This window comes from Homo sapiens, chromosome 12 (genome assembly GCF_000001405.40).
Source record: "Homo sapiens chromosome 12, GRCh38.p14 Primary Assembly".
Taxonomy (NCBI): Eukaryota; Metazoa; Chordata; class Mammalia; order Primates; family Hominidae; genus Homo; species Homo sapiens.
The window spans coordinates 106114147-106141460 of record NC_000012.12 but is presented as its reverse complement, the minus strand read 5'-3'; the positions used below and the strand labels follow the sequence as shown (position 1 = coordinate 106141460).

The following is a 27314-nucleotide window of genomic DNA, read 5'->3' as shown; positions in this document are numbered from 1 at the left end:
TGTAACCTCTGGGAAATTACTTAACCTTTCTGATACGGTTTCTTCAATTGAAAATAGGGATTGTAAACAGCTACTTTACAGAGGAGGGTTTACTGTCATAAAACAGTACCAGCCTATGGTAGATGATGCTGTTGATTCAATAGATACTGATGAAGTCCCACATATCTGGGAGTAACACTATCAGCCAGAATAAGCCAGGTTATGCTGCTTTAACAAATCCCACTGACTTAACATAAATAAAGTTTAATATTTGCTGACACTACTTTTCCAATGCAGATTGGCTGGGATTTTCTGCCATCTTTACACAGAGACTCAGGCTGGCTTGGGGAGGCTCCAACTTTGTACCACCATGATTGTCAAGATAGGAAAAAGAAGACATGGGGATTTGCTCACTGGCTCCTAAAGGTTCCAAGTGAAAGCAACACAATCACTTCTGCTCTCATTCCATTGGCCTAAGCAAGTCCGATGGTCTCATCTAACTTCAAGAGGATGGGGTAGTGGATTTCTACCACATCGCAGGGGAGGGGAAGAAGTAGAAAATATTTTAAAATACTACTGTAGACACAATGTGTTTATCTCTACAATAGATCTGCTAAATCCATATCTTAAGAGAAAACCGAAGCTCTGAGAGGTTATGTCATTTGACCAAGGCCACACAGCCAATCCTCTGGGAAGCCAGGACTCAACCTGCATGCCACTCATCCTGACTGTGGGATCTATAGGCACAACGTCCACAAACTGTATAGAAGCAGAACAGTTTCAGGATGGGGGTGGGTGGCAGGGAGGCCCTGCAAATGCGGTGGACAGAATAGGAATTGAATAGGCATGATGCGCCTTTGTGTCTGTGTTCTGTCATTGCTCCTGGGGAAGGGAAGAAGGGGCAGGGAAGTTTGTGTGAAATATCAGTAGAAGGAAAGTTTGGACAGGTAAGAATATCACGCGTCAGAGTACAGCAGAGACACGTGTGGAGGATGAGGGCAGTGTTTCAGGCCATTACTCTGGCAGCAGTGAGGAGGCTCCCGGGGAGGGTTGGGGAGAGCGGGCTGTTGCTGGAGTCCGGGGTAAGGTGACCAGGGGTAGACAGGAATGAAGGCGGCGGGAATGTAGAGGAAGGGCTGCACCTGAGAGCTGCAGAGGAGGCCCCAGTGAGGTCCACTGGTGGAAAAGAACCGCCATGCGATCTGCAGAACACCAGACCTTCTTCAGCCTTCACTCTTCCCACCCTAGTCTGGTACATTGCACCACTTGTTAAAAAAAAAAATTTCCCTAAGACCTCTTTTTCTCTAGCCTTCTTCCTTATTTTTCATGGTCTCTTCTTAGAACGGCGGCAGCCACGCCGCGGTGGGAGGCCCTTCCTGCCTGACCCTTACCGTGCGGGGTACCGTTCCTGTCACCATCGCCAGGATCTGGCCCTTTCAGTGAAAGGAAATCTCCCAAGGCCTAAGGAGGCAAGAGGCCTGCAAATCGCCTCCTGCTCAGCAAACGGGTTGCTCAGCAGGCCCGGGGTCCTGGTCCACCCCAGGTCCCTGGTTTGCCCACCTCCGATGGCGGCCTTCGCTGGCAGGGTGGGCGCCTCTGGGGAGCCAGCTCCGTCCCGGCGCCTTTAGAGCCCCATCTCTTCCACGTCCCTGGCCTTCCTCCCCTTCCAGGCGGCTGTCCCCGCCGGGGTCCAGATGGTGTCGGAGGGCCGGCGGTTCGACGGCGGGCCCGGGGTTCAGCCTCCCGGCCTCCCTCCGTCCCTGACTCTCCTTTCTTCGGAGAGGGCGCGGGGGCCGGGGCCAAAGCGCCGCTCTTGGGGTTCTCCTGGACTCGGAGTTGCCCCAGGCGGGCGCAGCTCTGCCCCGCGGGGTGCCAGCCTCGGGCGGGCAAGGTCCGTGAGTCACCGCCTGTAACCGAACACCAGGCCTCCCTGCCCCCTCCCCCAGCTCCGGCCGCCAGGCTGCGGCGACACCTACAAGAAAATGAAGGGGCGCCCAGGCCCGCGGCGGCCCCGGCCGTATCGCGAGCAGGTCCCGGCGGCCCCCGGCTCGCGGCGCTCTTTCTTCCCCGGCCCCGGGGCTCGGCCAGCCGCAACCGCCGCCCCGGCGCCAGCAGGAATCCAGGCCGAGCGACCGGCCCCGGAGCCCGAGGCGGCGGAGGGCCCGCGGTAGCTGCGACTGGCGAGCCCGAGAGCGCCCGGGGAGGGGGCGCCCGGCTTGGAATTTCCCGGTCCCTTCCGGCCCAGCGAGGACAAAGCACTCCTGGCCGCCGCCGCCGCCGCCGCCGTGGCCTACGCCGCGCCGCACAAAGGGCGAGTCGCGACACGCTCCCATCCCCCTCCCAGCTCACGGCGGCCCCGGCCCCGGGTGGCTGCAGGGAGGTGGGGGAAGCCCTGGCTGCACCGCCCCTCGCTCCCCCTCCCCTGGGGCCGCGCGAGCGCCGCCCCCGCCCCGTCTGCGCGTCCTCCCGGGGAGGGGTTGGGGGGCGCGGCGCCCCACATAACACTCCCCCTCCTGCGCTGCGAGCCACCCTCTCCCCTCCCTCCTGCAAACACCACCGCCTCCCCTGCCACCGCCGCCACCTCGCCCGACGCTCCACAGCTCGCCGCGGCCGGGGGGCGGTGCGCGGACCGTGCGCGCCGCGGGCGCCAGATGTGCAGTCCCCGCCGCCGCCAGTGACCGAGCCGCAGTCCGAGCGGTATCGGGCCGCCTCCCTGATGCTGCGGGGGCGACCTTGAGCGTACAGCGGCTTCCCTCGGTGGGGACCCCGACATCCCAGCGCTGTGCCCGGTCTTGCCCTCTGTAGCCCGGCTCGCCCCGCGCTTGGACATGGAAGGGGCCGCCGCGCCTGTGGCGGGGGACCGCCCCGACTTGGGGCTGGGGGCGCCGGGCTCTCCCCGAGAGGCGGTGGCGGGGGCGACTGCAGCCCTGGAGCCCAGGAAGCCGCACGGGGTGAAGCGGCATCACCACAAGCACAACTTGAAGCACCGCTACGAGCTGCAGGAGACCCTGGGCAAAGGCACCTACGGCAAAGTCAAGCGGGCCACCGAGAGGTTTTCTGGCCGAGTGGTGAGTGGGGCAATCCTGGAGGGTGCGGGGGGCGCTGGGTGGACGCGGCCGGGGACTGAGGGCGTGCGAGGCGGGGGTCTGTGCGCCCTGGGGCTCTCTTGACAGAGAGGGGGCTCATTGGGAAGCCCCGAGACAGACTCCTCACTCTTTCTCCAGCACCCCGTGACTCAGGCGTGTCTCTGTCCTGAAACACTTGTTACATCCTGTCTGCACATATTTTATTTTATTTTTTGGTTTGTTTTTAAAAATTTAATCCTAGCAGCAAAGGAATGTTTTAGATTTGCAAACACTTTGCAGCGTTGGGACGGCCGGGGTCTCTCTCCCTCGCAGGCACTCATTTAGACCATGCCCCGAAACGTCTTATTTCCACAACTCTCCAAAGAACCACATTCCCAGCTAGGAGCTAGCCCCTCAAGTCCGGTGTTTTGTAGGTGTCCCTACCCCCTTCCACCCATCTGCCCGCAGCTCCTTGCTCTGCATCCTCCCACTCAGACTCTGCATCGCCCTGATACTGCTGTGACTGCAAGGGAGGGCGACTCTTGCCTGTTTTTGAGACAAGGTTAGGGAGCAAAAATAAAGACTACTGCAAGCCTGAGGATTCTAACAGTTTGCATCATGGCTTTGGGAGGACCGAAATGTCCAGGGCATGGGTAGCTACAGAGATAGCTGTGCTTAGTTGCAGCAGGCTCAGTTGTGTTTCAGCTCCTGGTTGCAGGGCTACCAAACCGCTGAAGGGGTCTGGCCCCGCTGCTCTTGTGACAGCTGACACCCTGCCAGGGTCCTGGCACCATTTGCACAGCTCCAAGGAGTGCTTTGAGTGCCTTGGGGTCTGTCTGCCTTGTCCCAGCCTTGGTTTGTTGTTATTTTCACTTCTGCAGAACAGGCCCTTGAAATCCACACTGCTTGTGGCTAGAGAGTTGGGTTCAAAGTGACTGACTGTTGCAGAAAGATTTTGTGTGGTGTGTGGCAGAAAATTAACATGGTTCTTTGATTTGAAGCAGATCAGATGTATTCTAATCGATTTAGGGCCAAAGTCAGAAACTGATTATGGGACTCCTTGTGTGCACTTTTGGGGGTGTTTTGGAGGCTCAGGTTTGCTTATAAACAACAAATGACTGCAGGGAAAAAGGAAAATGAGCTGTCAAATAAAATAGCAGCTTAGTATTGACATGTTTCTTTTGCATTTCGGCAGGAACAGTTCTGTGAAAAAAACATGGGGGTGCCAGTCAGCAAAGTTCAGTCCCCAAATTCTCAAATATCTGGATACCCGGATAACGCCCTCCCAACCCATTTCTCAGATTTGATGTTTGGGTCTATATAACTTCGTCCCATAACGTTATTTTAAAAAAAAATCTGTTATCAATTAATTGGAAATTTGAGATGGCGTACATTTCTTTTTAAAGCTGGCTCTGTAATAAATTCTACAGCAAGCAAGTAGTTGAGAATTCACTCTGGGCAGGTGCCATTTTCGTAGGATGAAATTGTTAAAGGGGAGGGTTGTAAGGGTGGCCTCTGATGAAGGCAATTTCAGGTTTGTGGAAGAAGAGGCTGGGAAACGTGCACTTCATTCATGCTTTTCTTCTGAGGTGATATTCCCCAGGCTGGATGTTGAATAAGCAAAAACTAAGCTTAGATCCCTGCTCATGTTGTCTTAATAGCTGCTGAAGAATCGCACTGGGAAGGTGGGAAGCAGAATAATGAAAAACAGACGCAGTTCGAGCTGCAGGTTGAGAATGTGAGGCTATGAGGGGTTGTTGAAGTGGTAAGGGTGTGTCTAGGGTCTGTGAAGGGACCCCAAAGTCTAAATGCTGGGGCACTACCTCAGACCTTTCTAACGAACGAACCCTTGTCTTATGGCAGACGCCTTTCTGAGCGTCAGTGGGACTTCCTGTCAGGCGTTCTTGAGCTGTCTGATCCACAGACTAGGTTAGAGTGAAAGGGATTTGCATCAGTAGGCAGGAGTCCGCCTTTCTCTTTTGGGGGATGTCTTTCTCTGTATTTGCAGAAACTGAACATTCCGTCAGGATTTAGTCAAGCGGCCACGAGGGGGCGCCCTGAGAACGAGAGAGGCTTCTTTACCAGCCGCAAATCTGAAGTCCCGCTGTGTTATTGTTCAGCCCTAGTTCATTTTCCCATTGTGCTATTAATTTCAGCTAAATCTCTTGTTTTACCCCAAAATTATGTAAAGATTTTAAATCTGGCAGCAGACCCACGCCCAGAAACTGACAGTCTCTAAAATGCTTCGTTTATTCATGGGGCTGCTTTCTCCTTGATAGCTGAGCTTACAGAATGTTAGCCAGATCCCTGGGTAAAAACCTTGCATAAAACAGATGGGAAAACTGAGGTTTGGGGAAGGAAAGTCCTCCTTGGCCCCCCGTCCTCCCCCTGCTGAGCACACTGCTCACAGATGGTGTTAAGAACTTTAGTGAGAAACAGGAATTGTCAAGTGGAAAATTTCCTGTGACTGGCTGAACAGAAAATAACACCAAACAAACAAAAAATTGGTCAACGAGTTGTTCTTGCCCATACAGTGCCTGGTGACTCAGAACCTGTTAAGAGCAGTAAGACATTTTCATCTAAAATATGAACTTGGAGTTTTCTTCTGGTACCAGCGATGTGCTAAACATTCACAACATGCTTTGAAGGTGCAGTTGAGGAGAACTGAAAGGGCACTATCTTAATTTAGCCTTTTGATCTTTGGGTAGAATTTTGAAGTGATGTTTTATTTTCATTTGCACCAGTGCCTTTTACAGCATCTCTCAAGAGGAGCAGTGGTTCTAACGTGTTTTACTAATGTGAGTGGCCCAAGACAGGTGCCGAGTATGGGGTTGTATGAAATGCTGTGAAATCAACATCCCTGTTGAAAGCAGGGGTTCTTCTCAGAGAGGAGAGAAGTTTCTAAAAAATGAGGATGTGATGGTTTTTAATTGCATACCTGGAAGGACCTTCTGAATAAAACAAAACACAACACAGCATCATTTTCTATGTGCCGCGAAAGGCAGTTCTGAAGAGAAGTGCAGAATGAGATGCTTGGAGTCAGCTGGTGCGACCCTGTGTGTCGTCCAGGCACTCTCCTGCAGTCTTGCAGCCTCTGCTAAAGCATGTCCGTGAGACCAGGACTCAGAGTGGCTTGTTCCAGAGATGAACAAGCTCAAAAATGAGGCACTCTTGCAGAAAGGCAAAGAGCCCTGGCTTACATTCAAATCCTTGATCTATCCCCTACTAGCTTTGTGTCTTTTGGCAAGCTATGTGACTTTTTGAAACCTCAGCTTCTTCATCGGTAAAATGAGCTACTAAGAGTACCAACTTCATAGACTTGTGAGAACTGAATACAGTGATCTATATAAAACCTCAAAAGGGGACATTAATCAATTTAGTTCCTCCTTTTAGCAGATTTTTTTTCTCATCTCATTTTAGGATTTCATTAGATTTTAAGACCATCAGAGAGACAATGCATTGTATCATGCAGAGAGAGATAGAAGAAATAATCAACTTTTCAGAGTAATAAAATAAATACCAAATTAATTAGGGAGGTGTGTCCATAGGAAGATGAGATAATTAGCCAGATTCAGATAGGATCTGAACACATTTCTCAAGTCTTGAATTTGGGCCTTGTTTATTGCACAACTTTGGTTTTGATACAGTTTTGGGCAGGCCTACTGGGTGAGCCTCTGTGTCATAATTCGGCATGCATTTTCTTTGAGCTAAGCTCCCTGGACCTACAGGCCACACAAAGCGTTGCCAAAAATCCCAAAACCAAAGCCACACAATTTTATGTCCTGTGATCACCTCGATGTCAAGGGGCCAAGTTCAACTTCCTCACTGTACCAGGTTATCTCTAGTGAGCAGTAGGTGGTGTGGTGTGAGCTGGAGGCAGGGTCCCTGGGGGGGAGTCTGGGATGGGAGTGGCAGGACTGGTGGGCAATGTGTGCCCCTCCCCCACAGTCTGCCCTGGTGCCCCTGGCCACTAGAGCATTAGCTTGGGTGATGGGGCATCCTCACCTAGCAAGCCAAGTGTTTTGACCAAAAATGGGTGTTTTAAGCACCCAAAGCTATTCATAGCCTCCTGCTGGAAAACTGCAAATCAGGGAGGCAAATTAGCAAACTGGCCTGCCAAGCCAGGAGGTGTGTTGACGTCACATGCACGGTGGCAGAAGTGCCATGTTGCAGCTAAGGCCCAAATACAGTTTTAGAGTGTAAGGGACCATGGCAAACATGTGGTTCAAACTTGTCATCTTCGAGGTGGGACCAGTAAGGCGCAGAAGTGTTAAGTGACTTTGTTGAGGTTGCACAGGTCTTGAATGACGGAGCTGGATCTTAGAAACCCGATTCTTGGTTTGGTATTTTTCCATCACTCATTTAATAAATCTTTACTAGAGAAAGACATGGGCCTCACTCTTAAAGAACTTATAATCTAGTAGCAAAGGTGAAATGTACTTGCAAACTAATTCTGTTCAGTTCGATGAAGATTTATTGCCATCTGCCATGTGCTACTCACCATGTTAAATGCTGAGACATAGAAATGAGTAAGACCCAGGGAGCTTCCAGCCTGGTGAAAGAGAAGGCAGAAGTAGTTACTAGGCATGAGTAACTCTTCCATAGAGGATTGTTTCAGGTGATTTTCAAGTTGGACAACAGTTCATTGAAGCTTAGCTCATGAAAGTGAGTTTGATCCTGGACAGAATCATATTTCTACTGCTACCATTATTTACTACCAGCTGATATTTTTGAGAGCTTGTGGTGCATCCCACTGTGCTAAGTGCTTTAGAGACATTTTCCCTCACTTAACTTTCACAGCAACCCTGTGAGGTGTAAAATAGTGAGACCCATTTTACAGATGGGGAAAATGACACATAGGGAGGTTAGGTAACTTGCCAAGGGTCAGACAGCTGGATGGTGTTTGTTTGTTTGGATGGAGTTTGTTTGGAAACCCAATGCTGCTAGAGGAATTGAGAACCTTCCTTAATGTTGCACAGCTGGTGACCTCTGGATTTGGGTGTGGTTCTTTGCTAATGGTGCCAGAAGAGCAGCCATGGGGTGATCGCCCACCCTTCCGGAAGGGTATCTAGAGGAGGGGCCAGGGTATACTGTGGGATTAGAAAGTGTTCTCCAGCTAATGGGAGGACAAGTGCTGTTGAAAATGACCCTTGATTTGGGTTTCAGAGGATTGGAATGTGGGGCATTCCAAGGCATTCATTCACTTGTGTTTGGGGGAAGGTGAATATTCCAGGTGGCTTGGAATGCAGGGTTTGTGCTGGGACACAATGGGAGGGCAGGATTGGTAAGGTAAGATGGGGGTAATAATAATAATTGATGCTAATGCAAATAATAGCAACTAATACTTCTTGAGTGCTTATAACATGCTAGGTGCATGTTAACTGATTTAATCCTTATAACAATTCTGCTATCATCCCATTTTCTAGATGAAGAACCTGACTCACAGAGAGGTTAACTAGCTTGCTCAAGGTCACAGGCAGCAGCAGAGCCAGGTTTGGACCCAGGCAATGTGAATGCAGAGACCTTGACCTTAACTCTTCCTCTAGAGGGGTCTGAGCTGGGTTCTGATCACAGTGGGGTGTTGAGCCCGTCAGTTTGGTGTGCTGGCTTGGAGCAGGGAGTTTTTGCAAGAGTTGAGGTTGGGAAGATAAGAATCAGAGCCAAGTTAGGGAGAAGAGATGTGCCTGCTTCTGGTGAGCCATCTGTTTGTTGGTCTGTTTGTTGGACCTCGAGGAGTTTGTTGTAATGAATCAGGTCAGGGAGCTCTTCACCTGGACACATACAGAGTCCTTTGTTTCCCAAGCAGCCTCAGACCCTGGAGTCCCTAGGGGGCTTTGAGGGGTAAGCTGGTTCACTTCCCTGCCTGCAGACAAAAATGCCCCCACACCATGCCAGTGTGTGTTGATCTTGCTTCCTCCTGGGAAGCAGCAGGAGATAAGGGTTTGAGTCAAGGTATCTTGTCTGTCGCTGTGTCCTGTGTGTCTTGAATCCATCCTGCAAAGATACTTATTGTCAATGCCTCACATGGTGCCAAGCACATAGTAGGTCCTCAACAGAGGCTTGTAGGATGGAACTGAAGTGAATACATTGAGCGAGAGAATATCTTGGGAGGTGTCGAAGTTGTACGTTATCTTTCCTGACCTCAAGGAACTTTAGATTTGTGGGGAAGGAAAGACAACGGTTGAAAATGAATGGCAGGTTACAGAGCAATGTCTGAAAAGACAGGCAGACCCTTTTCTGCACGAATTCCCCTTCTGTTACGTTTGCACATGCATTTGTTAGGGAGAGACGTATATCCAGGGTTTGTCAGGTTTCTGGCCGTGGCTTCTTGTCCTCAGTGGCTCCAGAGTCAGACAGCAGAAGTCTCATTTGTCTTTCCCACATGAAAGTCCTGGAGCATCTGTAAGTTATGATTTGTGAAGTATCTGCTTTAAAGCAGAATGCATTTATCATCGTGCTGGCCCAGACGACATTGTAGAGCACAGGAATGAGAGGATCCCAGGCCTCAGAGTAGGAGGGGCTGGGCCTGATGACCCACCGTGAATGGAGTCTGGCTGAATTGATAAAATTCCCTGGAAACAGCCCAGGAGCAGCCAGATGTTGGCTTTACAGCGAAACTCTTCGGTAAACTTTTAACTGCATGTGAAAACCAGGGCTGGGCATTTCCACTTCTAGGTTTACCCAGGAGAAATGCAAACATATGTCCACACAGAAACTTCTACACAAATGTCTATAGAGCATTATTATTAGTAAGAGCCCCAAAGTGGAAGGAACTGATGAATGGGTAAATAAAAGCTGGCACATCCATTTCATTTGTGGAATATTACTTATGATCTATTCCATAATTTTATTTATGGAATATTTTTGGACTGTTATTCAACAGTAAAAAGGAATGAGGTACTTAATACATGTGACAGCATGGATGAACCTTGAAAACATTATGTTCAGTGAAAGAAGCCAGACACAAAAGACCACAGATTGTATGATTCCATTTGTATGTAATGTCCACAAGAGACAAATCCATAGAGACAGCGTAGATGAGTGGGCCTGCGGGTGGGGTTGGGAGTAAATTGGGAGTAGCTGCTAATGGGTGTGGAGTTTTCTGGGGGGTGCTGAAAATGTTCTAAAATTGTGATGATGGTTGCACCCCTCCGAATATACTAAAAACCCCTGAATTGTGCACTTTAAATGGGTGAATTATATGATATGTGAATTACATCTCAATAAAGCTGGTAATAACTTAAAAAGGGGGGGGCTCAGGGTGGAGAGTGGGAAAGGGGTGGAAGCCTCTATCTCTCAGGCCTCTAAGATTCCAACCTCTGGTTCCACAGAAATCTCATGCTCATTTTGTGAAAGAAGCGAAGACAATCTCCTGCCAACCATGGTCAACATAGAGAGCCCCAGGGCCAGGCTGCCTGTGTCTGTATGCCAGCCCACCCCTTGAGAGCTGTGTGACCTTGGGCTAGTGACTAATTTTTAACCTCTGGGTTCTTTGCTAGGGCTCACAATAGTTCTTCTTTTATGGATTGTTGAGAGGAAGCACCGAGGTGACATAGCTAAGCCTTTTGCCTGGTGCCTGGCACACAGTAGGTACACAATAGATGCAGCCAGGGCGATTGCTACTCTACAAGGCACCTTTGTGCAAATTAAAAAAAGGCCTCCTCCAGGTGGATACATATGAAAAGGCTTCTGTCCTGGCCAGAAGCAGCCCCTCTCCTACTAGCGGCTCTGTGAGAACGACGCGGGCTGGGGCCCATTCACCTGCCCATCGGCTGGTGCCTTGTGCATGTATGATCTGCACATCCCTGCTTGGCAGCCCTGGTGGTAGCTTGCTTTCTTCTTCCTCTTAGCTACCACTTGTCAATACTCTGTGGCTGAAGCTTCCCCATAAGAAAGACCTAACATCCCCACATTGGGGCTCAACACACCTGCTCTTCTTTTCAATCTAGCAATAAACCAGATAGATGTATTTAATGTGTGCTTAACAATGTGTCCAGCACCATAGGGACTTTCAGAGGAGGATATTACAAGTCCTGCCATTGAGATACCTAGAATTTAGTTGGGGCTATTAGATTCAGACATCTGGAATAATCTGAGAACAATGCAATAATCTGAGTATAGAAATGAGGTGTCGAGGCTGGGCACGGTGGTTCACGCCTGCAGTCCCAGGACTTGGGGAGGCCGAAGTGGGTGGATCACCGGAGGTTGGGAGTTTGAGACCAGCCTGGCCAACATGGTGAAACCCCGTCTCTACTAAAAGTACAAAAATTAGCCAGGCGTGGTGGCGCATGCCTGTAATCCCAGCTACTCGGGAGGCTGAGGCAGGAGAATCGCTTGAACCTGTGAGGCGGAGGTTGCAGTGAGTCAGGATCGCGCCACTGCACTCCAGTCTGGGTGACGGAGGCAGACTCCGTCTCACAGAGAGAGAGAAAAAAAAAAGGAATGAGGTGTGGAGGAAGAAATCCCAGCTGTCGAATCAGACAGACTTGGGTTCAAATTCTGTCCTGCTACCCAGGAGCTAGATGGTCCCAGGCAAGCTGCTCATTTTCTCTGGCTTCTGTTTACTCATCTGGAAAATGCAGCTATGAAGTATCCTACCAAGTGCAAAATATCCTACCAAGTGAGATTGCCATCAGAAATAGGATTTGGAAGCTTCCAGCACAGAGCCTGGTGCATAGTAGGCTCTTGAAAACTAGAGGTAATATTACTGTTTCAGGGAGAAGTACTAGGGTGGAGTACCCAGTGACCTTCTTATCTTGGCTCATGGCTCTCCATGCTTAAAATCCTCCCATGGTTGCATGGGACCCAAAGTCTGAATTTACCATGTCCTTCAAGGCTCATGCATGGGTCTTCAGACCACCACTTCCTTACTTCTTTGTTTCAGCCCCGTGTCTCGTGTCCTTGTGAGCACATGGAGAGTGTGTGTTGGACTATTTGTAGGCTCCATTCTTCCTTGTCTATTAGAAAGGCAGCAGGGCTGCTGTCTGTCTCACTCGTCACTGCAGCCCAGCCTGTAGCCCAGTGCTAGGCATCTAGTGGGTGCTCAGTAAGAATGAATGAATGATTGAATGAACAATTGCGGGAAGAAGCACCAGCAATCCTGAGAAGGGAGAGGTCTGTGAAGGCGGGAGTCAGCAGGGAAGGCCCTGGGGCTCCATCCTCCTCCTTCTCTGGGTCACGCTTCCCCTTAGCATTGTATGCACAGCATTGCCAGGTGCTTCTCAGTGACAGCAGCTGGAGAGGTGGCTCAAGCCCATCCCAAACCCATTTCCCACTCTTGGAGGCTGCTCCAGGCGGGTAGTTTTTCAGAGCTCAGCAGCCTCCTCAGGCTGCTCTCACACTGGCCTGGCTTCGTTCAGAGTCCAGCCCTCCATCTGAGAAGCCCAGGTAATCAGCTCTGCAGAGTGTGCAAGGTTTAGATGCAAAATGCATCTGCAAGGTTTTCAAAACATTTTTTTCTGGGTTGTAAATCAAGTACTTTAAGTATTGCAAACCGGCTGGGGTGCGGAGTTAATGTATGTCTTGAAAAAACACCATCATGATTTGCCTTTTAAATTTGAGAAAAGAATTCCACTTCCCTTACTTTTATTAGAGATATGGAGATCTCCAGGGGGAAGGCGCTAAGTGGAGGCTGTGGTAGGTGTTAGCTCCTTCCCTGGAAGGGCGGGGAATGGTGAGTGGCTTAGGGCTCAACTTTCGTCTGTTTGGCTGAAGGGCAATTTCCCTGTTTAAAAAAGGTAGCAGCTGCTTCTCTTAGTTATCTCCAGCGGGACCCCATTCACTTTTGTCTGTGTCAGGCTCACGGGCCACAAAGGTGCTTGATTGCAGCAGGTTCAAACGAAGCCTTGCTGGCTGCTGCCATTTCACTATGAACTGGGCTCAGCTCACGAGTGGTTCACCCCAACTGCCAGAGGTCACTCATGTCCCAGTCTTCTACAGGATCATGGAAGGGAAGTGGACCGTCCAATCTATACATCAAAAAGGGAAGCGGGAGTGGTGGCTCATTCCTGTAAATCCCAGCACTTTGAGAGGCCGAGGTGGGTGGATTATTTGAGGTTAGGAGTTCAAGACCAGCCTGAACAACATGGCAAAACCCTGTCTCTACTAAAAATACAAAATTGGCTGGGCACAGTGGCGCACACCAGTAATCCCAACTACTCAGTAGGCTGAGGCAGGAGAATCGCTTGAACCCGGGAGGCGGAGGTTGCAGTGAGAGAAGATTGCACAATTGCACTCCAGCCTAGGCAACAGAACGAGTCTCTGTGTCAAAAAAAAAAAAAAAGAAAAAGAAAAGAGAGAATTTGGAGCTAGGCTTCCTGGGTTTGAAAGAACATGAACCTCCAATGTAACCTTGAGATAATCAACTGTGACTCGGTTTCTTCGTCTGTGAAATGGGAGTTGCAGTGTTAACAAATTGTATGTCGAGTTCTTAGAAAAGTGTGTCGCCCACAGTGAATGGTCCATAAATCTAAGTTTTGGAAGGAGGCCTCTTTGGAAAGGCAGGATGGGGTCTTGGTCCTGTCTGTCCCTGCAGCAGCCTGGGCACGGGGCATTGCACACAGTAGGTGCTGCTGTGTCGAGCACACTTGCTTCACTTGTAAATTGAGGGCCTGAGACAAAAATGTCCTTAAGGGTCCCTTCCAGCTCGTAGGAAGAGAATCCTAGGATTCACTGAAAGGCTGCATTTCCTATTGCTTGTTTTTTGGCAGAAGGGCTCCTTGCTGGGGAAAGCAGGAAGTATCTTCAATTCTCATACACACTTTGCAAGTGTACGGAGAGTCTCCCTGTGTAGACTGTCAGCCTATGTTTAGGGAGGTCTGCTCGCCTTCCCTGCTCTCTGGTTCTGTGGGATGCAAATACATTCTATTCAGCTCAAGGCAGCCAAGGCTTTCTGAAACACGTGTATGAGGTGGCTTCTGAACTAGACTCTATGTGAGACAGAAAATGTTCACCCATGCTGGGTGTGGTTGCTTCTGCCTGTAATCCTACACTTTGGGAGGCAGGGGGATCACTTGAGGCCAGGAGCTCTAGATCAGCCTGGTCAACACAGTGAGACTCCCTCATCTCTACAAAAAAATTGAAAAGTTAGCTGGGCATAGTGGCCTGCGTCTGTAGTCCTGGCTACTTGGGGGGCCAAGATGGGAGGATTGCTTGAGCCCAGGAGTTGGAGGCCACAGTGATCTACGATCACACCACTGCACTCCAGCCTGGGCAACAGAGCAAGAACTTGTCTCAAATAAAAGAAAATAAAAAGAAAATGCTCATCCTCAAAGAACCTCTCAGTTTTCTCATCTGTAAAATGGGTTGGTAATAGAACTTAACTCCTAGGTTGTCACAAGGACTCATGGACCACACACACTCTGAGAACAGTGCCTGACATGAAGCCACTTGTCAAGCAGTGTTATTTGTTATTATTTGTGATTCAGAGGAGGGTAAGCTCATGTTCTGCTGGGCAGCTCAGAGGAATCTTTGCTCATTCCTTAGATGCTTAGACTTTAAAGGGGCTTTGCTTTTGGTCCCAGTGAGGCCAGAGGCTCCTGGCTGCCTCTGCTCTCAGGATCTCCCTGTGGACACCACTTATTCTTCCCAAGGCTTTAGCAGTGATTGGGCACATTGAGCACCCAGGAGAGCTTGGCTTCTTGATCCTGGATGACAGGTAGGCTAGAGGCAAGATTCCAGGGATGAGGAAAAGACTTAAGAGAGCCCTGTCCCCAGGGGAAGGGCTGTTTTTGCAGTCTCACTTAGAGGGAAGAATTGACTCATATGTTTACTACTATTTCATCCTTGAAGATGAACAAATAAAGCTAACCTTTACTGAGCACTTTGCCAGGCTCTGTGCTGAGTAATTTGCCTGTGTCATCTCACTGAATTCTTAGAACCATTCTATGAGATAGATGCTGTCACCTGACTTTGCCCAGAGGTAACTGAGGCCCAGGGCCCCACTGTTTGTAACTTGGGGATGATGGCAGGAATACAACCCATGTCTGTCTGAGCTCGAAATTATGAGCCTAGACTGCTTCCCAAGAAAGAGTAGAAATATCTCTGTCATTTTTTCTTGTGGCAGGTGTTCCCTTCTGCCTCTCCCAGGTAGCTGGTTTAAAAATATTTATTCAAATAGCACTGTGCTAGGCACTGGGGGAGGCAACAGGGAGTAAGATATTGCCCCGTTGAGTTCACCCACCTCTTGATTCTAGAATGTGCATCTAACCCTGACATTTGAAGATCTTCAGTCTTTGTGGTCCACATTTATCCCTCCTTGCTGGTCCTTTTAAGGAGACTGATTTCTTGTTGTATTTATTTTTCTTCTTTAATCTCTCAGAATTTTATTACTTTCTATCAAACACATCCGTTAGGCAGCCTTGGCTTTCTCAGTATCAATTAAGACAGATGCCAGCAAACCTTAGAAGCTCTCAGTGGTCCTTGAGGCAAGATAATTACCTTGTGTGATTCTTAGTAGATTTGATAGTGAACTCTTTCTTCCATTAGCAGAAGGCATGCAGGGGGGAGACTAATGGTCTGTGTCTCTGGTGAGCTCAAAGCCCAGCCGTGAACGTGTTTGCCTGGAAAGACAGGGCAGTGATGTGCTTGCTGCTCTGGGAAGAACCTCATTTTTCATCATCCTCATGGTTAGTGGGTATCTGTTTTTCAGGCAGGACCAAATGGAACACTGAGGGAGGAAATGAATGAGTGTGTGGGCGTGAAGCAGGTAGTAGAGATCCTGGAGAGGAGAAAAATGAAGTGGAAATCTCCACTTATTTGGTTGTGTAGGAAGGTCCAGAGCAGAGGGAGCATTTTTCCCTTAACAACCCTCATAGCAGGAATCATTGAGTGATCAGTGTGTGCCAGGCACTATTCTAACTATTTACGTGCTTTTTCGCCTTTGAACCTGTATTATTATCACATTCATTTCATAGATGAGGAGGCAGAGGCTTAGAGGAAGTCCAATGACTTGCCCAAAGTCACAGAGCCAGGATCACAGGATGTAGGGCTGGACCGTCTGACTTCAGGGTTCATGATTACAACCACTGTTGGAGCCGGACTTAAAGCACAGAGAAGTTGCCTCCGTGCTTGGGAAAATAGCAATATGAAGAACTTAATTTCATGATCCCAGTCGTTCTATGTCTTACTCATTTATATGCTCCCAGTGCCTAGTTCAGTGCCTGGCACACAGTCAGAATGCAAGAAATATTTGTCAAATGGCTGTGGAGTGTTATGAGTCTAGGTATGTTGGGAGACTTGGCTGCTGGTTCCATCACTGCCACAACTTAAGCTGTGTGACCTTGGGCAAGACATGCCCCTCCATGGCTTCAGCTAACTTATCTGTAAGATGAGCGCTCTGGGCCAGATTTTTGTTTTAAAATTTATTATCCATTCAACAGATATTTATTTATTTATTTATTTATTTATTTATTTATTTATTGAGATGGAGTCTGGCTCTGTCGCCCAGGCTGGAGTGCAGTGGCGTGATCTCGGCTCATTGCAACCTCCACCTCCCGGGTTCAAGTGATTCTCCTGCCTCAACCTCCCGAGTAGCTGGGACTACAGGTGTGCACCACCATGCCTAGCTGATTTTTGTATTTTTAGTAGAGACGGGGCACAGGCTGGTCTCAAACTCCTAACCTCAGGCGATCCACCTGCCTCAGCCTCCTGTAGTGCTGGGGTTACAGTCATGAGCCACCACACCTGGCCATTTAACAGATATTTATTGATTGCATTTTCTGTGTGAGATACCACTCTGGATGGTAGGGAGACAGCCATGGTGAGACAGATGACGTTTCTGCTCCCTTCCTTGCAGCTTACATTCCAGCCGCTTCTAGAAACTGCATTTTGTGAATCTTCATGTCTTGCCCCAAAATTGTTTCAAAGTGGCAGTTGCTGAATTCTCTTCTGTTTGCCTTCCCCTACTAAAAGGCAAGCCAGGGCAGGGGTTTTCATCAGTTTTGCCTACTGATGTACCCCAAGTGCCTAGAACAGTGCTTGGCAAGTTAATATTGCTGATGTGCATGCATGCATGAATGATTGCAATATCTCCTCTGCTAATGAGATCCCAGGATATAAAAATTCTAGGGCTGAAGCCTAAGAAAAAATTAAGGAGCAAAAATCAAATTTTCCAGGAAAAAATCCCATTTTCCAGGAAAAATACTGTCTTTATAAAGGCAAGAACAGTTGAGATTGGGATGGTTTATTATTATTCCTGCTAGTTGAGGGATTAGGGAATCAGGCAGGATTCCTTACTTTTTCATCTGGTGATGCTTTTTGCAAACCGCAGAGAAAACAAAACAAAAACAAAAACTCTTCCTTTCCCCCAACCCCTTTGCTTCAAGCAGAAAAAGCACTTGCTTCTTAAAACAGCTCATGAAGGAAAAAATTATAACGAATATTTTGCATTTCTCTGGTGGCGGCACAGTCTGAATTCCATTCAGCCCCACAATGAGTTCTAATTTTATGAAATGTTTGGATTAGCCACCAATTTTCCGGTGGAATTTAGGAGGCTTGTACTCGTACTTACGCTTGAAGCAAAGAAATCTCATAAAATCCTTGCAGTGTCTCGGGCCCAGTGGGACGTTGTAGCCAAGGACAAAATGACCATCAGCAGAATGACGGGGAGGAAAGAGATCTCTTTGGCAGCTGTGGCCTGGCTTTGCAGATGGTGGTGTGATCCTGAGCTGCAGTCTCTGGGGCTTGGCCGGGCTGCATACCATTTTCAACTGATCATGGGCTATAAAAATTCCAGCCCAAGCACAATGCCTCGTACCTGACCTTGTTCTTTCAATTCCCAGAGCCAGAGAACATTAGGGCATCTGGTAATTGGGTGAGAGGCATTTGATATAGCACATGGTGCTCTGTCTTCCCCTCCTCATAGCTCATGTTGCCTTTTGTTGTAATTTCCAGCTCACATATCTGCCTCTTTGCCTCTCGACCTGCACTGTCTAATATGGGCACATATGGCTATTAAAGTTAAAATTAATTATAATTAAATAAAACATTCAGTCCCTCGGTGGCACCAGCCACATTTCAAGTGCCCAGTAGCCCCATGTGGCTAGTGGCTATCATGGGATGTTGCAGAATAGATCATTTCCACTATCATAGAAAGTTCTGCTGGGCAGGACTAGTGCTGCTCTAGACACTAGGTTGAATGAGGACATGGCACACACTTGGCCCCTTACCTTGCTTTATTAGCTCCATAGCACACATTATGATCTATAAAGTATTATGTCTCTGAGCAACCTCGTTCATCACATTTTTTGTATCTCCGGTGTCTAGAACAGTTCCTGGTATGCACTAAGCACCCAGTAACGATTTTCAGAATGAATGAAATTGCCTGAATCAGCATTGCTTTGCATGAGCCTAACACATAGTGAGTCTTCAAACAAATGGAACAAATACTTCTAGAGGTGAAACCATGTAATGGATTCATCTGATATTTGTCGAGCATGGACTACAGGTTGGGCGTTATGCGAGGCTCTGGGTATATAGTGATGAGCAAACAAACAGATCCTCTGGGTGAGGAGCTTATTCAGTCCAGTGGCTCTTAAATTTTCAGGGATGTGGGAATCTCCTAGGTGCACCTGTTAAAATATACCATCCTTGGCACTGACCTCAGAGAGTCTGATTCTGATTCAACAGGGTTGGAGTGGGACTTGGGGACACCCGAGTATCTTCTGCATTTTAACCAAGCAACTCAAGTGAATGTGATGGGGGAAGTCCATGGTCTTTATTTTGAGAACACAGCTCTGGACAATGGGAAGCTAGTTGCTGTATTCATTTGGGGATACACCACACCATTTTCTCTCGTCTATACCTTCTCTTGTGATAAATGGAGGGCTCCTATTTGGGCCTGAAACTTGAGGTTTCTTTTCTTGTTATCCAATCATGGAGTAATAATAATGGCAAACAATTACATAGCAGCAATTACATGCCAGGCGATAGTCTAAGCATGTCAGTCACTGACCTGAATTCATCCCCATGGTAACCCTAAGAGGTGAACACCATTATCATCCCCATTTTTCAGGCGGATAAACAGGCACAGAAAACTAAGTCACTTGCCCATGTTTACACTCCTTGTAAGATCTGAAAATCCTGAACTGCTGTGATACTGCCGCTCATGGCCACTGGACTTGGGGCAGCTGCCTCCTGAATGCCCAGTGTGCCTTTTTATCCTTTTCTGCTAGTTGCTTGGAATCAAAGTTCCAGTATACTTATGAAATGCCTGTTTAGGGGATTACCACGTGTGGATGTTATGAGCACTGTTGGTCTACAAATATCCACCCCTGCCCCCAAGGAGCTTAACTGTTCAATGGACATTCCCTTGGGCCTACTGTGCACCAGCCCTGTGTAGTACACCCAGGCATAAGACTTGCACTTGGTCTAATGGAGGAGACAGAGGCACAGGCAAAGAGTTTCTGAGAAAGTGTCGCACACAAGATAGGTTTTCTTCTAGATGAGAAAAGCAAAGAAAATCTTTAAGATTGGGTTTTCCTCACTTTTGCTACTTGTGACTCAGTTTTTACATAGTTTTGCTGTTTCACCCAGTAGGGGTGTGTGCATGTGTGTGTGTTTTGTGTGTGTAGGGATCCACCAACCCGTTCTGTCAGCACTCTTGTTCATACCTGCTTTTCAGGAGGGATGTTCCTCCCTCCCCACACCCCCCCACCTTTTTTTTTCCCGAGACAGGGTCTCGCTCTGTACCCCAGGCTGGAATGTGGTGGCACAGTCTCGGCACACTGTAACCTCTGCCTCCTGAGTTCAAGTGCTTCCAGTGCCTCAGCCACCCAAGTAGCTGGGATTGCAGGCACCCGCCACCATGCCCAGCTAATTTTTGTATTTTTAGTAGAGATGGGGTTTTGCCTTGTTGGCCAGGGTGGTCTTGAATGCTTGGCCTCAAGTGATCTGCTGGCCTTGGCCTCCCAAAGTGCTGGGATTACAGGTGTGGGCTACCACGCCCAGCCTCCCACCCTTTTTTAACCACTTAGAAAGACAGGAGACCCCTTAGAACTGAGAGCTGCTTCGAACTCCTGACCCACGTGGGAGAACCTTGAAAAGAGAAGCGTGAAATGAGGAGGGGTTAACATTTAGAAACCACCTTGTGTGTGCCTTCTGCAAGATACACTAAGTGATGCAGTTTACATACATTATCTTGTACCGTCTTCACAGCAACTCTGTGACGGGGAGTGATGATCGTCCTCACTTTAGGGTTAAAGAAACCGATGCTCAGACAGAAGGGCTGATCTGCTCAAGAAAGCAAGAGAGCATTGGAGTTAAAAGCTCGGGTCTGCCTGACCCCGCTGTGGGTTCTTTCCGCTATGTGGCTAGTTCTCAGGCCTGGCTGAGCATGAGAATCACCTGGGATCTTTTCAAAACACTGATGTCTGGACTTTACCCCAGGCTAACTAAAGGAGGCTGCCTGGGGAAGGAACTCAGGTATCAGTATTTTTAAACAGACCCGTAGGTCACTGTAATGCACTGCTAGGGCTGAGAGCCACTGGCTAGAGCATGCTGACAGCAGAAGTTCAAGGGTCTGCTCTCCTGAAGGTGGCCCCATCCATGCCTGGTCAAGATGGGACCTTGCTTACAGGAAGGTGAGCCCCCTCCTCCATCCTCGCCCCTGTGGGACCGGTGTGTCCGAAGCCATTGCACTGGACCTGGGCCGAGACCTCTTGCTATCTTGCGTCATAGGCTGCCTGTAAATCAGCAGCTGGCTTGTTTGCTTTTTAGGCCCCAGTTGTAGTGACCTTTGACTGTCTGTTTATTTCAGGGAAATAATTCCATCCTGCGAAATCAATTCCCTGGGGACTACAGAAGTACATTTGGAGGGACTTCTGTTAGTGGGGTGACCTGAGATGGCTTCTCAGAAGAGGCGACAGCTGCTCCTTTTCTCCCAGCCCCCTTCTCACTTTGCCCCCGACATCGTCCTCTGAGTCTCAGATTTTGAAGTTCTCATTGTGGTGTTTGTATTTGCACACGCCTCTGCATAACGTCTGTTCGTTATTATTATAATAATAAAAATGATAAGAACAGCCAGCATTTTTGGAGCATATACTGGATGTTGGGCACAATATTGGGCATTTTCTCTATGCCGTCTCACATCACTTTGCCTTTTCTTGGCAATGATGAGGGCAAATCTAAGTCTGAAATTGGACTTCTTATCCTTAGCAAAGGGCCAGTTGCAGTGGTGCTGTAAGTTTCTGGTCCTGTTGGAGGCCATGGTCTGTAGAGACTGCGATATTGGAAGTGGTAGACTTGGCTGAGATGAGGGTGGGTAGTTGGCTCATTGTGTGGACCGGTGTGGGAAAAGCAGAGAGTAGCCCAACAGCCCCTAGTGTTCAGCCTGCCATGAGCCTCAGTCAAGGGAATGGAGAACGCTGGTTAATCGGATGCTTTGGTTAAGTGGAAATACTAATAAGTTATAATAGAGAGCTCTAAATATATTTTTTTCCAGATAATTGAAGCTCACCCATTTAAGAGCCAATCCTCTTAAACATTGTAGGCATTTCTTCAGGAAATCTTTCTCATCGGGATGCACACTTTCTTGCCTTCTTAAAACAAAGTTCCTTGAAGGTAGTGAAAACTTTTTCTTGATGAGTTTGAGAAAATTCTCCTCAATGGTCCTCTGTACTGTGTTTTGGAGTTCTCATGTCTGCTATTTATAGTTTGTGTCTGTCATCTCCCTTATTAACTTTCATTCCTCTTTGTGACCTTTTTAAAAAATAAAATTCTTCTTTTCCCTTAGCGAAAATAGTGCATGCTCAATACTGAAAACTCGCCAGATACAGAAAAGTTAAAGATTAAGGGGAAAGTGAGTTGTCATGTCTTGCTTCTGTCAGTGAGGCTGTGTCTAGCAGCTTTCTAGTTCCATTTTTCCAGCTTCCCTACAGATTTTCTGTGAGTAAGCTTTCCTCGTAATTGTGTTAGTAGGAAAACTATGGGTGACGATCTGCAGGGGCGCCGTGCATGGAATCCATGGCATTTCTTTGAGTGGCATTTCTAAGGGCTTATTTCCATTCCCCAAAGTCTTCAGGGCTGAATGGCGCTCCAAGCATGAAGTCGTGTTTTCTGGGTAACAGGATGAGCCACCTTGGAGTAAATAGGGCTGGTCGGGGTCACTCAGTTAGGATGTGGCTGAGCTGGGTCTCTTGACTCAAGGTCAAGTGTATTTTCTATTTTGCTACCTCTTACCTGTGTTTTACACTACAGGTTAAGAGATAGTGGTTTTGGCATAAAGAAGCTATTGCTATATTTGGATAATTAAAACCAGGAAAAACCTACCTTTATCTCAGTCATCTATGTTGCTCAAGTGACAGATTTTTAGATTTCTTTTTTGAGGGAGTAAGAAGTAGAATTTAGTCCCCTTATTAGCATGCCAGACCCAGTCTCTGTTGGAACATCAGTCTTAGATTAATACTGAGATGGACTCAGAAATACACTTGAAAGCAACTTGCATTATTATCCTTACATAGCTTACATTTTATGACCTGCTTAAAGATGCAAGGAGCATAAATCTTGGGAAGGATGGTCTTATTTACTTGTTCGTCTTTTCTGCAGATGGGATGCTCACATTAGAGCCGGGCTGGCTTCAGATGTCTGCTCCAGGATATTTTAGCTGAACTGTATGAGTCCATTAAACAAATGTAAGAGTTTTTGGGAAAGAAGAGCAGTGTCTCAAACCAAATGTTTTACATGGAGAACATCTGGGGAATATTGGTATTTGTGTGTACAGTACATCAGAAAGCAGCTTGGCGGGGTTCCGCAGGGATGTTTCTGGCCTGTGGTTGCTGGATTTGACAGTTTTGTTGTAAGGGAATGGTTCTTATAAAGTATTGCCATCAAAGCAACGCTTGATCCAGGAAGGAGTGTCCTTGCTTAGCCGCACATTCAAATTGTTCTGATTAGCTCCCCGACCAGACCTTCCACGACATTTGAGCAATCTGCTATCTGAGCTAGTTTCCCCCAAGGCTTTACATTCCAGAGAAAGGAAGCATCACAATGCCAGGGCTAAGAGTGTTTTCTTCCTTACCACATATTTCCATAGATTTGACAAATGTGGAAACAGGCGTGGTCCAGTGGAAGCAGCATTGGCCACTGGATCCAAGTACCTGGGTTGAAACTTGGGTGGGGCCTTTGTGACCTGTGGAAACTTGGGGAGTTCTTGTTGGTTTCTGTTTTCCTCTCCTGCAAAATTTCTAGCTTATCTCATGGGGTGGTGGTGGGGGCAATAAAATGAAGTGGGATGACATTGTATCTATAGGTGGGAGGCCATTCATACAGCATGGTATTGCCTCCATGGATTTGTGGTCTTAGCCACAAGTACAGAGGCAACTTGGACCAGAGTGGAATCTGGGTAGACTGCCCGACTTCAGCAACTTGTAGATATTGGGCCAGGTAGTGGGTGGATAGGTAAGAAAGGAATAATTCTTATACAAATTAAGACTTACGATAGTCATCATTTTTTATAAAATTAAGCTCAACAAATATTTATTGGAAGTCTACTACTATAGAGCCAGATCCTTTCCTAGATATTGAGGACACAGAGGGGAACACAGCAGTTCCTGGCTTGCAGTCTCTGCTTGCTATGTCTGGGGCATTGACAATGAATGACCTTCCCTTTTGTTAGGCTATATACTGACTGTCATTGTGTAGCATGGACAGTGGCAGGTAAATAGTTTGTAGGTGTGAACATTATTTGGCAGAGAATGAAGCTGGACTTCCTGCACCTTTGTGCAAAGTAGGTCAATGTTATCCTTACTGAATCCCTCCCCTGAAATGGGATGAAGCTCCACAATAATTTGATATTGTATTTTTGTGGTGTTTGACGAAGTTATTATAAAAATGACATCTATGTGGGTCCTGAAGACTGCATTTCAACTAGTACCGGTCAAGTGAAGTAGGCCCATTTTATGGAGGAGATGACTGAGTGTAAGGCACGCAGTGTGAGAGAGAAGCAGCAGCAACACTGCCTTGGCTTTTTTTGGAAATGGGAAAATGAATAGCTGAGCAAAGTGAGACTCGGTTTTCTGGTTTGAACTGATAGTTATTTAGGAGTGTGAGAAAGACACAGGGATAGAAATGGGGGAGCCATGCATGGAATGACTTCTCAAGAGGCCCCATCTGTGTGCATACACATCATGTGTCTGTGGGCTCCCAAAAGAACACTTTGCTGGGATGGTTCTTGAAACCTTAGAAAGAGCATCTCCAGGGCTAGCTCTAGAGTTGTGTGCCTGCCTGTTGGCATGGGAGAGGGTGAAGTATCTTGGTCTCTTTCAAAAGGCATCTTGGGGGTAGGAATAGTCCTCACAGTGAAGTCAGGGTGTTCCTCCCAAAAGGAGAGTGAATAGGGAGGGGCTGGGCAGGGAGGAGCCCCTGTGTCTACTGGCCTTTCCAGTAGGATGGTAGGCAACTTGAAGGGTAGGTCTAGTTCATGTTCTCTAGGACTGGATCAATGCCTTATCCAGAACAGATTTTCCACAATTGCTTGCTGTGGAATCGACTCATTCTCACATCGTTTTAGGGACATGCCTCCCAGCCCCTCCCATACAATTCTGCCTTTTGCCCACCTGGTCCCACAGAAAGCAGCAGGAACACTGATTGATAGATGTGCTTTTGAAGATGGAAGTGGTTTAAATATTAGCTAACAAAAGGACTTCTGGTGGGGACAAGGCAGTGCGGCCTCGATGGGGCCTTCATGTCCAGAGGTTCTGATTCAGCTCATATTTATGTAACACCTACTATGTGCCAGGCACTGTGCTGATTGCTTTGTCAGTGTGCTTCAGAGGTTAAGAGTATGGTCTTTCAGCGTATGGAGACCCAGACCTCCTATTTATTTATGTGCCTTAGGGCACGTTACTTAACTTCCCTCAGACTCAGTTTATATTCATTGAGAAGGCAGAAATAATAATGTTTTTGTAAGAATTTAATGAGTGAGAGGTTGAGAGGCTTAACAGAAAGGTACTGAGGGCCTGGCACATAGTGAGGGCTTGATAACTGGTAATTATTATGACTGCTAGCTTTTATTGTGAATCACCCCCAACCCCTCTGGAGTGGGCACTGTTATTGTCTCCATTTGGAAGATGAGGAAGTTCAGGCTCAGTGATTTTGGGACAAGAAGGGATTCCACGTTTGAAAGGTGAGCAAGTAAAAGAAGGCTCAGCGGCAGATGGCTGGGGTTTAGGTTGGCTGGAATGATCAGATGTCCCACTATGGTTTTCTGTTTGTCAAGGGTCCTTCTTAATACTTGGGCTCCATTTTAGCAACAGCTTTTTTGTATATACTGTACATTAGGCACATGCTTAGTACTGGAGATGCCGTGGTGCATAAAACAGAAATGATTTTCGTGCAAATGAAGCTTATGAGCAATGGTGAGCGAGGTTATAAAAGGGGACCCATATCTGCAAAGGGGTCATTGCAGGGGATGGGCCATGTCTGCAGCAGATGGATGCAGAGGAGTTGGTCAACCGAAAATGTTAATGGCGAGGACAGGATGTGGAGGATCCTGGCAGAGAAAATGGCAGGTGCCATGTCTAGGGGCATGAGCACACTCCCCAACCCAGGGCACAACTAGGGTCTCCAAGATGACCACAGACCCCTGCCCCAGCCTCCTTGAGGGTAGGAACTGAGAGTTGAGTACTGGGCGAGGCTCATCCCCATGATGGGACGGCAGGAAATGCTCGTCTGGGGCCGAGCACACTCCTCAGCTCAGCCTGCGGTTTCTTGGGGCTGTGCATTTGCAATGAGCAAGAGCATCCCAGCAGGCAGGCTTGTGGAGCACTAATGAGGGAGATGACAAGCCTCCCGATGGATCTTGCAACGGGCTGGGGAGGAGGGACCAGCCTTTTAACTCTAGGAATAATGGACAATGAGAGCTTCTCTTGGAAGGAAAAAGATGCTTGTGAGGAGATAATGAGAGAGGCCTCGGGGGCTCCTGAGTGCTCTCCAGAGGCTTTGGGGGACGGACTGCAGCCTGCACGGTTGCTCCCGCCCTATCTGATAGGTCTTGTACATTGCTATAAATCAGTTTTCTAAACAGAAGAGATTCTGTCTGGATAAAAATAACTTCTGCAGAATCTTCTCTTTCACTTATTTATAAAACCATTCATGATTAGAATATAAAATAAGATAGAAAGTCATGCCTCTTTTTAGCTTGTTGTATTTTACCATATTAAGAAATGAAGAAAAGTTTTTTTGGTTCTGCTCACCTGGATCAGCTAAACTCAACTGACTAATTTCCTTTCCCTTTGGAAAACTAATTTTGCTTCTTAGGTTTTTGTGTTCCTAGCTCATTGTCCCCAAGGTTAGTGATTCAGTAGTGGCCTGAAGTTATCATTTAATAGCAGTGTTTGCAATGAATTAAGAAATAATAGGATGAAAACTTCCCAAGTATGCGTATTCATGGGTGATATTAAATCAGTCTTCAGAAATTGGAGGAAAGTTTGGATAGAACTGAACTGAAAACAGCGTCTCTGGCATAGCTATGTGAGGACAGACATTAGATGGAGGTGAAATACACCAAGCTGCAGCACAAGTCATGATTTGTCAGCACCCTGAAGAGTATCTGCCACTCCCATCTCGGTTTATTAATGATGCAACAGTTCTGGGGACTTGGCTGTGACTGGAGCCAGCCTCCCATGTAAATGTTGAATTTTTTTTGTGGCAGTTTCAGCCCTGCTGCTCACTGTGGCTTAGTATTTGATTAGGAAGGACCCCTTGCTCAGAGTGTTTATCCCTCCTGGAGTGGGAATCAGGACTCTCTTGTTGCAATTCCAGTGCTGCTGATAACTTCGTGAACTTGGGGCCTGTATGTACTTTAACCTCCCTGGGACTCAGTTTCCCCATCTGTAACATGAGGAGATTGGCATAGAGCATTCTAAGTCCTTACAGCTCTAACATCTACTCATGATAACAGTCCTCATTTTGGCTTCTGCCGTAGGTACTATTTGCCTTCTCTGCCTTCCATCATATACACAATCTGCCATGTTGCCACAGCAACCTTGTGAGGTTGGTACCATCATCATCCTCATTTGCAGGTGAGGAAACTGAGCCGGTGGCGTGATTATCCGAGTCCCTCTCCTTATAGGAGTCGCCTTGGCTGGGTTGCTGTGACTGATGACAAGCCCAAGGTGCAGATGCTGGATTTCTTAGCAGTACTGGCTCGGGTTCTTCTGGGTTTGGAGGTTGATAAATAAAAGTTGCACAACCTTAAGCTTATCCAAGCCTTGTTATAAACAGTGTCAGAGTGATCAGATGCTACCAGTTGAGGCTGTCCAAGTTGTAAGCAAC

General features: G+C 47.7%; 1 protein-coding gene and 1 long non-coding RNA gene across 2 annotated transcripts in view, besides 10 other annotated features; one reads left to right on the top strand and one right to left on the bottom strand.

The window, feature by feature from the left end:
* Positions 566-1185: an enhancer, noted in NCBI's record as "H3K27ac hESC enhancer chr12:106534054-106534673 (GRCh37/hg19 assembly coordinates)". NCBI's record gives its function as "activates a minimal SCP1, AML or CMV promoter by ChIP-STARR-seq in primed H9 embryonic stem cells {active_cell/tissue: H9 hESC(primed)}" and the evidence as "EXISTENCE:reporter gene assay evidence [ECO:0000049][PMID:30033119]".
* Positions 2507-27314, top strand: part of NUAK1 (NUAK family kinase 1) — a 75610-nt gene continuing 50802 nt past the window's right edge. The window contains exon 1 of the mRNA NM_014840.3: positions 2507-3047. Coding sequence (NP_055655.1) covers positions 2808-3047 — 240 coding nt within the window. The 5' untranslated portion in view covers positions 2507-2807. The remainder of the gene's footprint in view (positions 3048-27314) is intronic.
* Positions 3577-4078: an enhancer, noted in NCBI's record as "H3K27ac hESC enhancer chr12:106531161-106531662 (GRCh37/hg19 assembly coordinates)". NCBI's record gives its function as "activates a minimal SCP1, AML or CMV promoter by ChIP-STARR-seq in primed H9 embryonic stem cells {active_cell/tissue: H9 hESC(primed)}" and the evidence as "EXISTENCE:reporter gene assay evidence [ECO:0000049][PMID:30033119]".
* Positions 6496-7338: an enhancer, noted in NCBI's record as "H3K27ac-H3K4me1 hESC enhancer chr12:106527901-106528743 (GRCh37/hg19 assembly coordinates)". NCBI's record gives its function as "activates a minimal SCP1, AML or CMV promoter by ChIP-STARR-seq in primed H9 embryonic stem cells {active_cell/tissue: H9 hESC(primed)}" and the evidence as "EXISTENCE:reporter gene assay evidence [ECO:0000049][PMID:30033119]".
* Positions 7339-8182: an enhancer, noted in NCBI's record as "OCT4-NANOG-H3K27ac-H3K4me1 hESC enhancer chr12:106527057-106527900 (GRCh37/hg19 assembly coordinates)". NCBI's record gives its function as "activates a minimal SCP1, AML or CMV promoter by ChIP-STARR-seq in primed H9 embryonic stem cells {active_cell/tissue: H9 hESC(primed)}" and the evidence as "EXISTENCE:reporter gene assay evidence [ECO:0000049][PMID:30033119]".
* Positions 8183-9025: an enhancer, noted in NCBI's record as "OCT4-NANOG-H3K27ac hESC enhancer chr12:106526214-106527056 (GRCh37/hg19 assembly coordinates)". NCBI's record gives its function as "activates a minimal SCP1, AML or CMV promoter by ChIP-STARR-seq in primed H9 embryonic stem cells {active_cell/tissue: H9 hESC(primed)}" and the evidence as "EXISTENCE:reporter gene assay evidence [ECO:0000049][PMID:30033119]".
* Positions 9536-9830: a silencer, noted in NCBI's record as "tiled region #11062; HepG2 Repressive DNase matched - State 8:EnhW, and K562 Repressive non-DNase unmatched - State 22:ReprW". NCBI's record gives its function as "represses a minimal TATA promoter and a strong SV40 promoter by Sharpr-MPRA in HepG2 and K562 cells {active_cell/tissue: HepG2 | K562}" and the evidence as "EXISTENCE:reporter gene assay evidence [ECO:0000049][PMID:27701403]".
* Positions 10047-10796: an enhancer, noted in NCBI's record as "H3K27ac-H3K4me1 hESC enhancer chr12:106524443-106525192 (GRCh37/hg19 assembly coordinates)". NCBI's record gives its function as "activates a minimal SCP1, AML or CMV promoter by ChIP-STARR-seq in primed H9 embryonic stem cells {active_cell/tissue: H9 hESC(primed)}" and the evidence as "EXISTENCE:reporter gene assay evidence [ECO:0000049][PMID:30033119]".
* Positions 10797-11546: an enhancer, noted in NCBI's record as "H3K27ac-H3K4me1 hESC enhancer chr12:106523693-106524442 (GRCh37/hg19 assembly coordinates)". NCBI's record gives its function as "activates a minimal SCP1, AML or CMV promoter by ChIP-STARR-seq in primed H9 embryonic stem cells {active_cell/tissue: H9 hESC(primed)}" and the evidence as "EXISTENCE:reporter gene assay evidence [ECO:0000049][PMID:30033119]".
* On the bottom strand, positions 16731-17743 carry LOC124903007 (uncharacterized). Its single transcript, XR_007063442.1, has 2 exons — positions 17554-17743; positions 16731-16948 (listed from the first exon to the last, which is right to left on the bottom strand). It is a non-coding gene; the product is annotated as an uncharacterized LOC124903007 (long non-coding RNA).
* Positions 25116-25692: an enhancer, noted in NCBI's record as "H3K27ac-H3K4me1 hESC enhancer chr12:106509547-106510123 (GRCh37/hg19 assembly coordinates)". NCBI's record gives its function as "activates a minimal SCP1, AML or CMV promoter by ChIP-STARR-seq in naive H9 embryonic stem cells {active_cell/tissue: H9 hESC(naive)}" and the evidence as "EXISTENCE:reporter gene assay evidence [ECO:0000049][PMID:30033119]".
* Positions 25693-26269: an enhancer, noted in NCBI's record as "H3K27ac-H3K4me1 hESC enhancer chr12:106508970-106509546 (GRCh37/hg19 assembly coordinates)". NCBI's record gives its function as "activates a minimal SCP1, AML or CMV promoter by ChIP-STARR-seq in naive H9 embryonic stem cells {active_cell/tissue: H9 hESC(naive)}" and the evidence as "EXISTENCE:reporter gene assay evidence [ECO:0000049][PMID:30033119]".